General features: G+C 38.4%; 1 annotated feature.

Moving 5' to 3' along the window:
• Positions 16,459-16,578: an enhancer, noted in NCBI's record as "active region_1357". NCBI's record gives its function as "activates an Ori minimal core promoter by ATAC-STARR-seq in GM12878 lymphoblastoid cells {active_cell/tissue: GM12878}" and the evidence as "EXISTENCE:reporter gene assay evidence [ECO:0000049][PMID:35858748]".

Raw genomic sequence — 16,811 nt, 5'->3', positions numbered from 1 at the left:
AGCAAATTTCCTAGGTCTTCTCCAATAGGCAATAATGAAGGAAGAGAACATAATTTTACAAGCAGAAATAAAATAAAGGAGAAAAACCACCTAGGTGGAAAGAATAGGAAAGTAACTAAAATATAAGATCAGGTTACGACACATTGATTCTATATATGTATGTGTGATGTGTGTGTGTATATGTATGCATGTGCTTGCTTTGTATAATTCTGATTTTTAGAAATTTCAGTTACTATGACTTAGATAACACTACTCCCCCCAAAACAGCATTCAAATTTTAGTTACAGTATAATAACTGAGAGTAACGATTAAATGTACAAACTTTGCTGCCAGTTCTTCAGTCCAAAAATCACTATAAAAATAACACATGCACATATGATTAGTGACCAGTCATCTCACTTCCTTCAAAGTCTTCCAGTGATCTGTCACTGAATATTTGCTATTCTGTTCATGCACAGACAGCAAAGCATGTATGTGTTGACTCCTTGTCTCTCTGTAATAAATCCACATGACATCTTACAGAAGAATGCATAATTTAACCAGGATCTGGTCAACAAAAATGGAACTACAGCAAAGACAAAAAGGTGGCAATACTGAAAGTGAAATTTGAATATTGAACATAAATACACTTATAAAAGACATAGCATAGCCAACCTTGGAAATGCTGAAACTACCACCACCATCTGAGAGACTCTAGAAATGCATCCAGAGAAACAGTGAAAGTGAGCTTATTGATATAAATGGGAGAAAAGTTTGTGATGAAGATGATATTGTAGAGGAAATAATTCTGATTCAAAAAAATTCACATTAAAGGAATTCTTGGAGATATTTCACAACACTGAAAATACAAAGGATAAAAAATTAATTAGTAATGGATCCAAATGTAGAAAAGGATATGGCAATTAGCGTAGACACAGAGAAGATGCTTGCCCCATATCCTAAGTTACATGACAAGAAGGTGATGGTAAACGCTGTTCAAACTTGTCTTAGCTTGGGATGTAGTGACAAACTACCATAGACTGAGTGGCTAAAATACAGTCATGCATCACTTAAGGACAGGGACGTACTGAGAAACACATCATTAGGCTATTTTGCCATGTGAACATCATGGAGTGTACTGACACAAATCTAGATGCTAGAGCCTACTGTATACCTAGACTATAAGATATATAACCTATTGCTCCTAGGCTTCAAACCTGTACAGTATGTTACTGGACTGGTGATACTCCAGGCAGTTGTAACACAATGGTAAGTATTTGTGCATCTAATGTATCTAAACATAGAAAAGTTATGGTAAAAATATGGTATTATAATCTTATGGGACCAGCGTTATAGGTGTCGTCTCTCACTGATTGAAACATCATCAGTATGTGGCACTTGACTATAACAGACATTTATTTCTCACAGTTCTGGAGGCTAGGAAATCTAAAATCAGAGTGCCAGCTACAATGGTCAGGTTCTGGGGAGGGCTCTCTTGCTGGCTTGCAGAGAGATGCCTTCTCCCTGTGCCTTCTACCTGTCTCACATGGTGAGAGAGAGTGAGCTCTGGTTTCTTCTTCCTTTTGTAAAGATACTAATCCCATCATGAAGGCCCCACACTCAGGACCTAATCTAAACCTAATTTCCTCCCAAAGGCCCCACCTCCAAATACCATCACATTGGAGATTAGAGCATCAACATTCGAATTTATGGGAAACACAAACATTCGGTCTGTAACAAAACTACTCGATAAAATTTTTACAAAGAAATAAGACATTTAATTCTCAACATTTCGGTTTTAGATAACAGAGTATGGAATAAATATCAGCTATTTTTTATTTTTCTCTGTATTTAAAGCTGTCAGTAAGAGAGTTTTAAATACTTTAACAAAATGTTTAAAGGTAACATTAATTATAATTTTTTTCCATTGCTTATTAAGACACTTTGCATGGTTTCAGCTTGCATGGTCTTTTTCTGGTCTCACACTGCTGTACAAAGTAAGGACTGCCTGTCTATATTTATATATAGGGATACATAGATGTGTGTGTGTATATGACTGCCTGTCTATATTTATATATAGGAATATATATACAAACCCACACACCCACATATATATCCCTATATGTAAATATAAACAGGCAGTCCTGTCTATACATATATATGGGGCTGTGTATGTATATATATGTGTTTGATACATATATGTTTTAATACATACAGATATACACCTATTTTTAATACATATATATATACACACCTATATACACATATATAAAACCCCATATAAATGAATAAAATCCCATATATATATGCCTTCTTTTTAAAATAAATATTGTCCCTACTTCATATTAATACACAGCAAAGAACTTTGTAGCCTCCTAACTGTTAATTATTAGATTTATTTCTCTTGGTCACTTATTTTCCTATGGCCATATTTAAAAATACTGTTCTGATCAGTGGATAGAAAAGTATTTGTATTAGTGTATCACTTCAGCTATTCAGAGAAAGAAGGATGAGGAAAAGTGATTTTTTTCAAAGTTATTTGTATTTGATTTTTTTTTTTTTTTTTGAGACAGAGTCTCATTCTGTTGCCCAAGCTGGAGTGCAGTGGCACAATCTCACCTCACTGCAACCTCTGCCTCCCAGGTTCAAGCGATTCTCCTGTCTCAGCCCCTTGAGTAGTTGGGATTACAGGCGTTCGCCACCATGCCTGGCTGACTTTTTGTATTTTTAGTAGAGACAGGTTTCGCCATGTGGGCCAGGCTGGTCTCAAACTCCTGACCTCAGGTGATCTACCCGCCTCAGCCTCCCAAAGTGCTGGGATTACAGGCGTGAGCCACCGCTCCTGGCCTGTATTTAATATTTTAACCATCTTTTAAAATTATATTGCTCACATTCTGGCTTGGTACACATACACACATAATTTAACCCACCACACCTTTTGAACATGAATCATTTGTTGGTACTCTAATGAAGTTCTTGAAAGTTATAAAGAGCTATATAGGGGAGTTGAGTCCTTTGATCTAAAGCATCTCAGAAACTATGATTGTTTATTTTTTTTCTGTTCACCTTTTTTTATGGCTTTATCTGCCCTCTGCTGTTAATTCTCATTATTTCTTGTCTTGAAAACTATCTTAGAAACTTGCTCACCTACTTCCAGTCTGCTATTGTATTTGTCAACTCAGGCTGCTATAAAAGAATATCACAGGCTGAGTGACTTAAACAACAGAAATTTATTTTCTCACAGTTCTGAAGATTGGAAGTCCAAGATCAAGGTGCCAGCAGGATTGGTGTCTTGTGAGAGCTCTCTCCATGGGTTGCAGACGACTGCCTTCTCCATACACACATGGAGAGAGAGATCTATGGTGTCTCTTTTTATAAAGACACCAGTTATATAGGATTTGGGCTCCATCCTTATGACCTGATTGAACCTTAATTGCCTCCCTAAAGGCCCAATTTCCAAACAAAGTTACATTAGGGATTGGGACTTCAACATACGAATTTGGGGGGTGAAACACAATTCAATCCATAACAGCTATCCACTGTCTTGAAATTTCATCTCTTATAGTTATGCCCTGCAGAAGAATTAAAGGATGCCAATGTAACACAGATAACCATGGTGTGATTGTATGTAAAATTAAGTCAATTAGGCAGAAATGGACTCTACTTCTGTCATATAAAATAAAATGTCTGGGATTTGTGATGGATGTTTTCATTGCTGCTATTCTGACTTATTTGCTGTACTTCTGATTTCAGATGGCCCTTTATTTATGGCTCAAATTAAAGTCATCTGATCATCAAAAGTGGTACTATGATTATGGATAAGTATATCTATGATCGTGGATAAGTATATCTTTAAGTCGAATATTTTTTTCTCACTACTAAAAGTAAAAAAGTGAAACTTGAGGTTCATAGATGTCATGATAAAGAATAATCTTCAAGTGCCCAAACAGATCTCAGATAATAATATTTGCTCTCTTAGAGAATGATTCTAGCATATGGTTTGATGTTAAAACAGTTTTATTACAAATGAAATTTAAACCTCTGGGATCCTAAATTGCAGTGATTGAATGTGAAGCTTCAATGCTATAAAAATTTCATGCAATCTTAGCTAGCTTGCTTTATTTATGATTCATTGTTTTGTGTTATAGGAGAACAACTTGTATATTATACTAGATAAGTCAAATGATATAGACTTTGTATTTTTAAATGGGAATTTCATAAGACATATGGTGACAGTATCTGGGATCAGATCCATACATTTTCAGATGCCTTTATATTTATTCTGAGTACTTAGTACTAATCTTGAAATACTGAAGACATATAGACGTAACAGCTGGGCCACCATCAATTGAAACTCTAACACTGTTCACTTTAACAACATATATTTTGAAAAATAACAATGCTGCTTTTCAACTCTTTTTTTTTCATTATTGCTTTTTATTTCTAATTCACCAAATTCCCAGGAACACTGGAAGGATAACAGAAGCAATAGTAAGCTAAATTCTCTTACATCCAGGTTAATCCAGATGTTGTCAGAGAATTGTTTATACTGTGTATATCCTGATATAAACTCATGGCAATTATTTTTAAATTTTGGTGTGTGTGTGTGCGTGTGTGTGTGTGTGTATTCCAGCATCAAAAATGAAAGACTCAAAATAAATTTTGTAACAATTCAGTTATAACACACAGAAAAGATTAAAATGCCTAATTCTGGCAAGAATGTAATATTTCTGATGCAAATATATATTTCTGCTGGCAGTGTAAATCCCTTTGGAAAGCACTTTGGCATTACATTTCATGAGCCACTAAAATGCGAATAACCTTGACCCAGTAATTTCATTCCTGTGAATCTGTCTCCAAAAGTAATATAATTTAATAATCACAAAGATGATTGTAGCAGTATTATTTGTGATAGCAAAAACCTAAATACATAGCAATAGGAGAACTGTTAAATGAATTATGGTTTACCAATTACATAGAATATTATGTAGGCATTAAATGATAATTATGCACATTCTGTAGCAACAGGAAAAATGTTTATGATATAATTTTATGTTTAAAAAGATATAAATTATACCCTACAATTACTGTTATGTAAAAATCATAAATGTAAATGTGTAAGATTAAAAGCGAATGTGGAAAAGTGAAATCTGGAATGTGCAAATTTGCTGTCATTTAAAAAAATACTTCAGTCATTTCTTTATCTATGTCAAATGCTTAACAAGTAATTCTACAGTACTGTTTATGTAATTAATTCAAAAATATAATTAAAATGACCACAGAGAACAGTGCCTTCCCTTTCAATTGATTTGATCTTGACTGAAATCCTAATATCTATATCCTGTAATCTGACTGAACCTTATTCTATACTAATTTATAATCATAATATCAGCACTTTTGTGATTTCTACTTTAAATTACTGTTGTAAATGGTGCCCTATTTCTTAAACAAATACATTTGCAATTTAGTGAATGATATAATAAACTATAACATATGTATTAGTCCATTTTCACACTGCTATAAAGATGCTACCCAAGACTGGGTAATTAATAAAGAAAATAGGTTTAATTGACTCACAGTTCCATATGGCTGGGGAGGCTGCAGGGGGCTTGCAATTGTGGTGTAAGGCAAAGGGGAAGCAAGGCATGTCTTCCATGGGAGCAGAAGAGAGCAGTGGAAACTGCCATTTTTAAGCCATCAGATCTCCTGAAAACTCTCTCATTATCATGACAATGGCATGGGGAAAACTGTCCTCATGATCCAATCACCTCCCACCAAGACCCTCCCTCAACTCCTGGGCATTACAATTCAAGGTGAGATTTGGGTAGGGGACACAAAGAGAACTCATATCAACATATTTCTAATACATTATTTTAAAATGTAGATTAAAAATTTTTAGATATTTGATATCCACATTACTGAAGTTTGGAGGCAAGGCATCTCTGCCTTCATTGCTTAAAAGTGGATTATGTACTAAAGCTAGTAGTTCTCTAAAGAGAGCAAGTTTGTTCCCCAGGGGACATTTGGCAATGTCTTGAGACATTTTTGCTGTCACAACTCGGGGAGGGGAAGTTTGCTCCTGGCATTCAGTGGGTAGAGTCCAGCGATGCTGCTAAACATCCTACAATGTACGGTACAGCTGCAGGACAACTCCCACAACAAAGAATGATCTGGCCTAAAATGTCAGTAGTACCAAGGTTGAGAAACCCTGGAGTAGGCAGTGAAAAAAATAGCTAGAATAGAGAAACCTAGCTTTTCGCTTTATTTCCACTGCAAAAAGAATGGGCTTGTGCTAGCTGCTTACATTCTGTCCCTAAATTTCCTTATTTGTAAACTGAAAGTAAATAAGATTTATTTTATCTCACAGGATGGTTCTGAGAGTAAAATGAGAAACAAAGTGATAGTACTTTGAGAGGCTAAAATGTACCATACTGGGTTCTGTTCCAAGATGGCCGAATAGGAACAGCTCCAGTCTGCAACTCCCAGCGTGATCCATGCAGAAGACGGGTGATTTCCGGATTTCCAACTGAGGTACCTGGTTCATCTCATTGAGACTGGTCGGAAAGTGGGTGCAGCTCACAGAGAGCGAGCTGAAGCAGGGCTGGGCATCGCCTCACCTGGGAAGTGCAAGGGGTCAGGGGATTTCCCTTTCCTAGCCAACGGAAGCCATAACAGACTGTACCGGGAAAATCAGGACACTGCCACCTAAACACTGTGCTTTTCCAGCGGTCTTAGCAAATGGCACTCCAGGAGATTATATCCCATGCCTTGCTCAGCGGGTCCCACATCTACGGAGCCTTGCTTACTGCTAGTCCGAGATGGAACTGCAAGGCAGCAAGCCTGGCTGGGGGAGGGGTGTCCGCCATTGCTGAGGCTTGAGTAGGTAAACAAAGTGGTCTGGAAGCTCGAACTGGGTGGAACCCACTGCAGCTCAAAGAGGCCCGCCTGCCTCTGTAGACCACCTCTGGGGGCAGGGCATAGCTGAAAAAAAGGCAGCAGAAACTTCTGCAGACTTAAACGTCCCTGTCTGACAGCTCTGAAGAAAGCAGTGGTTCTCCCAGCATGGTGTTTGAGCTCTGAGAACGGACAGACTGCCTCCTCAAGTGGGTGCCTGACCCCTGTGTAGCCTAACTTGGAGACACCTCCCAGTAGGGGCCGACTGACACCTCATACAGCTGGGTGCCCCCCTGAGACGAAGCTTCCAGAGGAAGGATCAGGCAGCAATATTTGGTGTTCTGCAGCCTCCACTGGTGATATTCAGGCAAACAGGGTCTGGAGTGGACCTCCAGCAAACTCCAACAGACCTGCAGCTAAGGGATCTGACTGTTAGAAGGAAAACTAACAAACAGAAAGGAATAGCATCAACATCAACAAAAAGGACATTCACACCAAAACCCCATCTGTAGGTCACAATCATCAAAGACCAAAGGTAGATAAAACCACAAAGATGGGGAAAAATCAGAGCAGAAAATCTGAAAATTCTAAAAACCAGAGCTCCCCTTCTCCTCCAAAGGATCACAGCTCCTTGCCAGCAATGGAACAAAGCAGGACAGAGAATGACTTTGACGAGTTGACAGAAGTAGGCATCAGAAAGTCGTTAATAACAAACTTCTCCGAGCTAAAGGAGGATGTTCGAACCCATCACAAGGAAGCTAAAAACCTTGAAAAAAGATTAGATGAATGGCTAACCAGAATAAACAGTGTAGAGAAGACCTTAAATGACCTGCTGGAGCTGAAAACCATGGCACGAGAACTATGTGACGCATGCACAAGCTTCAGTAGCTGATTTGATCAGGTGGAAGAAAGGGTGTCAGTGACTGAAGATCAAATTAATGAAATGAAATGAGAAAAGAACTTCAGAGAAAAAAGAGTAGAAAGAAATGAACAAAGCCTCCAAGAAATATGGGACTATGTGAAAAGACCAAATCAATGTTTGATTGGTGTACCTGAAAGTGATGGGGAGAATGGAACCAAGTTGGAAAACACTCTTCAGGATATTATCCAGGAGAACTTCCCCAACCTAGTAAGGCAGGCCAACATTCAAATCAGGAAATACAGAGAACAACACAAAGATACTCCTCGAGAAGAGCAACTCCAAGACACATAATTGTCAGATTCACCAAGGTTGAAATGAAGGAAAAAATGCTAAGGCAGCCAGAGGGAAAGATTGGGTTACCCACAAAGGGAAGCCCCTCAGACTAACAGCAGATCTCTCAGCAGAAACCCTACAAGCCGGAAGAGAGTGGGGGCCAATATTCAACATTCTTAATGAAAAGAAATTTCAACCCAGAGTTTCATATCCAGCCAAACTCAGCTTCATAAGTGAAGGAGAAATAAAATCCTTTACAGACAAGCAATGCTCGGTGATTTTGTCACCACCAAGCCTGCCTTACAAGAGCTCCTGAGGGAAGCACTAAAGATGGAAAGGAACAACTGGTACCAGCCACTGCAAAACCATGCCAAATTATAAAGACCACCGATGCCAGGAAGAAGCTGTATCAACTAACTTGTGAAATAACCAGCTAACATCATAATGACAGGATCAAATTCACACATAACAATATTAACCTTAAATGTAAATGGGCTAAATGCCCCAATTAGAAGACTGGAAAAGACTGGCAAATTGGATAAAGAATCAAGACCCATCAGTGTGCTGTATTCAGGAGACCCATCTCACATCCAGAGACACACATAGGCTTAAAATAAAGGGATGGAGGAAGATCTACCAAGCAAATGTAAAGCAATAAAAAAGCAGGGGTTGCAATCATAGTCTCTGATAAAACAGACTTTAAGCCAACAAAGATCAAAAGAGACAAAGAAGGCCATTACATAATGGTAAAGGGATCAATTCAACAAGAAGAGCTAACTATCCTAAATATATATACACCCAATACAGGAGTGCTCAGATTCACAAAGCAAGTCCTGAGAGACCTAAAAAGAGATGTAGACTTCCACACAATAATAATGGGAGACTTTAACACCCCACTGTCAATGTTAGACAGATCAATGAGACGGAAGTTTATCAAGGATATCCAGGACTTGAACTCAGCTCTGCACCAAGCAGATCTAACAGACATCTACAGAACTCTCCACCCAAAATCAACAGACTATACATTCTTCTCAGCATCACATTGCACTTATTCCAAAATTGACCACACAGTTGGAAGTAAAGCACTCCTCAGCAAATGTAAAAGAACAGAAATCACAACAAACTGTCAGACCACAGTGCAACCAAATTAGAACTCAGGATTAAGAAACTCACTCAAAACTACACAATTACATGGAAACTGACCAACCTGCTCCTGAATGACTACTGGGTAAATAATGAAATGAAGGTAGAAATAAAGATGTTCTTTGAAACCAATGAGAACAAAGACACATAATACCAAAATCTCTGGGACACGTTTAAAGCAGTGTGTAGAGGGTAATTTATAGCACTAAATGCCCACAAGAGAAAGCAGGAAAGATCTAAAATCGACACCCTAACATCACAATTAAAAGAACTAGAGAAGCAAGAGCAAACAAATTCAAAAGCTAGCAGAAGGCAAGAAATAACTAAGATCAGAGCAGAACTGAAGGAGGTAGAGAGACAAAAAACTCTTCAAAAAAATCAATGAATCCAGGAGGTGGTTTTTTGAGAAGATCAACAAAATTGATAGACCACTAGCAAGACTAATAAAGAAGAAAAGAGAGAAGAATCAAATAGACACAATAAAAAATGATAAAGGGGATATCACCATTGATCCCACAGAAATACAAACTACCATCAGAGAATACTATAAACACCTCTACGCAAATAAACTAGAAAATCTATAAGAAATGGATAAGTTCCTGGAAACATACACCCTCCCAAGACTAAACCAGGAAGAAGTTGAATTGCTGAATAGACCAATAACAGGCTCTGAAATTGAGGCAATAATTAATAACCTACCAACAAAAAAAGTCCAGGACCAGATGGATTCACAGCCGAATTCTACCAGATGTACAAAGAGGAGCTGGTACCATTCCTTCTGAAACTATTCTAATCAATAGGAAAAGAGGGAATCCTCCCTAACTCATTTTATGAGGCCAGTATCATCCTGGCACCAAAGCCTGGCAGAGACACAACAAAAAAAGAGAATTTTAGACCAATATCCCTGATGAACATCGGTGCAAAAATCCTCAATAGAATACTGGCAAACCGAATCCAGCAGCACATCAAAAAGCTTATCCACCAAGATCAAGTTTGCTTCATCCCTGGGATGCAAGCCTGGTTCAACATACGCAAATCAATAAACGTAATCCATCACATAAACAGAAGCAAAGATAAAAATCACATGATTATCTCAATAGATGCATAAAAGGAGTCTGACAAAATTCAACAGCTCTTCATGCTAAAAACTCTCAATAAACTAGGTATTGATGGAACATATTTCAAAATAATAAGAGCTATCTATGACAAACCCACAGCCAGTATCATACTGAATGGGCAAAAACTGGAAGCATTCCCTTTGAAAACTGGTACAAGACAGGGATGCTCTCTCTCACCACTCCTATTCAACATAGTGTTGGAAGTTCTGGCCAGGGCAATCAGGCAGGAGAAAGAAATAAAGGGTATTCAATTAGGAAAAGAGGAAGTCAAATTGTCCCTGTTTGCAGATGACGTGATTGTATATTTAGAAAACCCCATCATCTCAGCCCAAAATCTCCTTAAGCTGATAAGCAACTTCAGCAAAGTCTCAGGATATAAAGTGAATGTGCAAAAATCACAAGCATTCTTATACACCAATAACAGACAGAGAGCCAAATCATGAGTGAACTCCCATTCACAATTGCTACAAAGACAATAAAATACCTAGGAGTCCAACTTATAAGGGATGTGAAGGACCTCTTCAAGGAGAACTACAAACCACTGCTCAATGAAATTAAAGAGGAAACAAACAAATGGAAGAACATTCCATGCTCATGGATAGGAAGAATCAATATCACGAAAATGGCCATACTGCCCAAGGTAATTTATAGATTCAGTGCCATCCCCATTAAGCTACCAATGACTTTCTTCACAGAATTGGAAAAAACTACTTTAAAGTTCATATGGAACCAAAAAAGAGCCCGCATCACCAAGTCAATCCTAAGCCAAAAGAACAAAGCTGGAGGCATCAACACTACCTGACTTCAGACTATACTACAAGGCTACAGTAACCAAAACAGCATACTACTGTTACCAAAACAGAGATACAGACCAATGGAACAGAACAGAGGCCTCAGAAATAATACCACACATCTACAACCATCTGATCTTTGACAAACCTGACAAAAACAAGAAATGGGGAAAGGATTCCCTATTTAATAAATGGTGCTGGGAAAACTGGCTAGCCATATGTAGAAAGCTGAAACAGGATCCCTTCATTATACCTTATACAAAAATTAATTCAAGATGGATTAAAGATTTAAATGTTAGACCTAAAATCATAAAAACCCTAGAAGAAAACCTAGGCAATACCATTCAGGACATAGGCATGGGCAAGGACTTTATGACTAAAACACCAAAAGCAATGGCAACAAATGTCAAAAGAGACAAACGGGATCTAATTAAACTAAAGAGCTTCTGCACAGCAAAAGAAACTACCATCAGAGGGAAGAGGCAACCTACAGAATGGGAGAAAATTTTTGCAATCTGACAAAGGGCTAATATCTAGAATCTGCAAAGAACTTAAACAAATTTACAAGAAAAAAATCAAACAACCCCATCAGAAAGTGGACAAAGGATATGAACAGACACTTTTCAAAAGAAGACATTTATGCAGCCAACAGACACATGAAAAAATGATCATCATCACTGGCCATCAGAGAAATGCAAATCAAAACCACAATGAGATAGCATCTCACATCAGTTAGAATGGCGATCATTAAAAAGTCAGGAAACAACAGGTGCTGGAGAGGATGTGGAGAAATAGGAACGCTTTTATACTGTTGGTGGGAGTGCAAACTAGTTCAACCATTGTGGAAGAGAGTGTGGCAATTCCTTAAGGATCTAGAACTAGAAATACCATTTGACCCAGTGATCCCATTACTGGGTATTTACCCAAAGGATTATAAATCATGCTACTATATGCACACATATGTTTGTTGTGGCACTATTCACAATAGCAAAGACTTGGAACCAACCCAAATGCCCAAGAAAATGTGGCACATATACACAATGAAATACTAAACACCCATAAAAAAGGATGAGTTCATGTCCTTTGTAGGATATGGATGAAGCTGGAAGCCATCATTCTGAGCAAACTATCTCAAGGACAGAAAACCAAACACTGCATGTTCCCACTTACAGGTGGGAATTGAACAATGAGAACACCTGGACCCAGGGCAGGGAACATCACACACCAGGGCTTGTTGTGGGGTGGGGGGATGGGGGTGGGATAGCATTAGGAGAAATACCTAATGTAAATGATGAGTTAATGGGTGCAGCAAACCAACACGGCACATGTATGCATATGTAACAAACCTGCACATTGTGCCCATGTACTCTAGAACTTAAAGTATAAAAAAAAGTACCATATAAATATCATCCCTACACATACTTGAAAATCTCCTGAAGTTTCTTACCAATAAAAGGAAAGTAGAGACAATTATCAGATAGCTTATGCATAATTGCTTGACATTTTTAATTTGTCATGTTTCCCTAAAGAATATTAATGAAAACCGTAACAACATAATTCCACTTTGCTTATGTTTTCCAGATAAAATAATCTAGCTTTCTTACTTGTCTGCCCTGTCCTGTGTCTTGAATTTCTCCATTGTCACTTAATTTTTGCTTCAGATACAAACATGCCCAGGATCACTTTGTGACCACCCAGGCTTGATCTCAAGCTCTCACTTCTTCTGTCCCATTTTCTACTTGTTACTGTGAATTTCTCACTTCCCATTCACTCCACTGTCCAGTGGCATGTTATTCTTCCATTTCTCCTACAACTGCTGAGATTAATCTCAATCTCCCTCTTGGTTTCCCAGGGGTTAAAGGGAATGGCATAGAAGCAATTATACCTCAGTAGCAGTGAGCACACCCAGTGCCTTTATCTTGGTTTTAATACCATTCTCCAATAAAAGTATTTACCTTTTAGGTAGGGCTCCTTGAAGAAATGCTGATTCTAGGACTGGGGCAGAAAATATACAAGATGAGCCTGGAGCAGTAAAGAAGTCACACATACACACACACACATACACACACACACACACACATAGGGAAGGAAAAGTAATATCTTCTCCTCACCTGTTGTAAGGTTTATGCTGGGGCGCCTATAACAAAAGACAGATTAACAAGAGAAAAGCACGTAAGTTAACTTTTTGTACATGACTAGAGAAGGACCCTTCAGAAATGAAGACCCAAAGAAACAGGGAAATTTGTATATTTTTATGCTTAGGTTTAAAGAGTGGAAACTTGTGCAGAAGTATAATTAAACAAGGGGGCAGGATGATCTTATGGTAATAAATTGGAGTGAATTTAGCAAGGCCTAAGTTCAGATTCTTCTTAGTGTCTCTGTGTCTTCAAGGACAGGATGTTTCTGGACCTCAGGACCAGAACCTCAGGACCTCAACCTCAGGACCAGGCTTAAGGAGATACCTCTGGATGAAGCTTTTATGATCTGCTTCAGAAGAGAAGAAAGACGGGAAGATGAGAGTGATCCTCCTACTTCTGCTTGTTTCTCAAATGCCAAGGTCATATTTTGGGGTAATGTGTCCTGAACCCCATGATATGTGATGGGCAGATGTTAAAGTGACATAGGGCTCAACCAAATGATCTCCCAGTGGCCAGTGTTGAAACAATTTGAGCAAGAAAATAAATAATATAATATTGTACAGATTATATAACATACATTAAAAGAAAAACAAAGATTCCATACTGATGTAAATAAATGATTGAATTAATACATTAATAAATGAGGGAAGAATAAACACATCTACTCAGCATAATTGTGAATAGGTGGATACTCCAGTCTCAGAAAGGTGAAATATAGCTCCCCACTCCTTAAGTGTGTCCTACATATAGTGACTCCTATACAGAAAGGATTATATGAAAAAGAGTGTTGATAAAAAGGGTAAAACTCTGCGAAATATTTGAATAGATTTAGTCTGAGCCAAATATGAGTGACCAATGGCCCACAACACAGCTCTCAGGAAATCCTGAGAACATGTGCCTAAGGTAATCAGGCCACAACTTGGTTTTATACATGTTAGGGAGACATAAGACATCAATCATTGCATGTAAGATGTACATTGGTTTGGTCCAAAAAGGTGGGACAACTGGAAGTGGGGGCTTCCAGGTCATGGGTAGATTCAGTGATTTTCTGACTGGCAATTGGCTGAGAGTTAAGTTATTGTCTAAAGACTTAAAATCAGTAGAAAGGAATGTCTAGGTTAAGATAAGGGGTTGTAGAGAACAAGGTTCTAACATGCAGGTGAACACTCCAGGTTGCAGGCTTCAGAGAATAGATTGTAAACGTTTCTTATCAGACTTAAAGAGTCTGTTTTATCAGTCTTAAGGTCTGTGTTGATGCTAATGCCAGTCAGCTGGGCCTGAATTCCAAAAGGGAGGTGGGCATAATGAGGCATGTCCAACTCCGCCTTTCCATCATGGCCTGAGCTAGATTTTCAGGCTAAATTTGGAATGCTCTAGGCCAAGAGAAAGGGTCCATACAGATGTTCAGAGGGGATCAGCATTTTATTTTTGATTTATAAGAGTAACTTTACAATGCAGAAACATGACAAATACTACCTCAACCAGATGATCAAAAATAATATTAATAGCCATAAATCATGTTTATAGTATGTACCCTTCATGTGAAGCACTGAGAATGGCACTTTACCTCTGTAGTCTTCTCAAAACCATAAACCCAATCTAATCATGAGAAAAATATCAATCACATCTCCATTAAGAGACATTCTACAAAATACCTGGTTAGTACCCCTCAAAGTGGTCCAGATCATCAAAAACAATGAAAGCCTGGAACACTGTCATGGCCAAGAAGAGTAAGAAATAAGACAAGCAAACGTAATATGGTATCCTAGATAGGATCCTGGAGCAGAACAAGGACATTAGGTAAAAACTAAGGAAATCAGAAATAAGTATGGACTTTAATTAATAATGTATCACTGAGTTCATTAACTATGAAACACTTGCCAGGTTAATGTAGAATATCCAAAATAAGGTAAACTGGGTTTACTAGGGTATATGGGAATTCTCTTATATCACATTCACAAATTTTTGTATGAATTTTGTGAACCTATTCTAAAATAAAGTTTACTTAAAAATAATGCTTATTATATTAAAATTTTTAAAAACTGTTTTTAAAGATTAGTCAGTGCATCTTCTTCTTGCTGAACTGCCTGAATGTCACAGAAGACTTCCTTTACTATCCAGACTTCAACATCATCTATTGTTTGTTATCAGTTACTCATAAAAATGCCTAAAATCTACTTGGCAGCCTCTCTATGAATATTCATTTACATATTAAGAACTAGACATTGTTGGCCGGGCGCAGTAGCTCACGCCTGTAATCCCAGCACTTTGGGATGCCGAGATGGGAAGATCACGAGGTCAGGAGTTCAAGATCATCCTGGCTAACACGGTGAAACCCCGTCTCTACTAAAAATACAAAAAATTAGCCAGGCGTGGTGGCGGGCGCCTGTAGTCCCAGCTACTGGGGAGGCTGAGGCAGCAGAATGGCGTGAACCCGAGAGGCGGAGCTTACAGTGAGCCGAGTGCACCACTGCACTCCAGCCTGGGCGACAGAGAGAGACTCAGTCTCAAATAAATAAATAAATAAATAAAATTAAAAACTAGACATTGTTGAGAGAGTTGATGAAAAATTAAGAATAATAAAGGGAAACAAGGCTCATGTCTCCCTTAAAGGAACAGGGCTTGCTGCCAGGCTGCAATTCATTTCTAGCACAGCCCTAAATAGGATGCTATTTGTGTGATTTCCATCTCCCTACACTGAAAACAATGGATGAGTTAATTAACCCTCTACACACCCTGAAAACTTGTTCTTTCAAGCATGGATTTTTGACTTCCGACAGGTTTGGAGTGAGACAAATTTGAGTACAGGGCCCTTCCCGTCCCAGGGCAGCCAATTCTCAGTCCTATTTGTTTTTCAACATGAAAGGCTTATTCCAAGATCTACCAAGTATCCTGGGAAATTGGTCTGGGAACCTGCTTAGCTCTACTATTCCTGCCTTATACATAAGTCAAGAAGCTCCAAAGGGTAGCATTTTGATAAATCATTCTTAGTTCATTTTGCCACAACTCTATGTCCCAAGCCCTCGTGGTTTTGTTTTTATTTCTGATTTTATGGCAGACATTGTTAATCTATCACTGAATCCATTCTCACTGAGTAGGCCAGATAGGCAGACAGGCTCATTTCCTGTTTTCATGTGGTTTAGAGAAAAGATCAAAAGCCCTTTACTCAAACTGTAGCTTACCTAACTTCCAGCCAATCAGCAACAAAAAACCCAAGAAGCTATTAACCACAAGTTCCTGCTTTAGGGGGATAGGGACTTCCCTTCGGCTCCACATGTGCAGGTAGCCTTAAACTTTAACTTATAATTGCCCCTCCCCCTCATTTTAATACTAAAAGTCACACAGCCAGTAGTGGAGATTTAAAACGGTAATATTACATGTGGTGTATGAAGAAACATGTAGAGCCATTGCACAAGTGCTAGAAAAAACCCTCCTATACATGCCCTGATGAAATCCTTCCCTATAGAAAGTCCGCATAAAACAAATCCACATACTACCCTCCAGGAGCAGCCTGCCCTTTTCCTTTTGTGGTGCCGACTTCCTTGTGCACAAG

The sequence above is a fragment of the Homo sapiens genome, chromosome 1, assembly GCF_000001405.40.
Source record: "Homo sapiens chromosome 1, GRCh38.p14 Primary Assembly".
Taxonomy (NCBI): Eukaryota; Metazoa; Chordata; class Mammalia; order Primates; family Hominidae; genus Homo; species Homo sapiens.
Note: the sequence above shows the minus strand (reverse complement) of the source record. Positions and strands in the feature narration are given on the sequence as shown.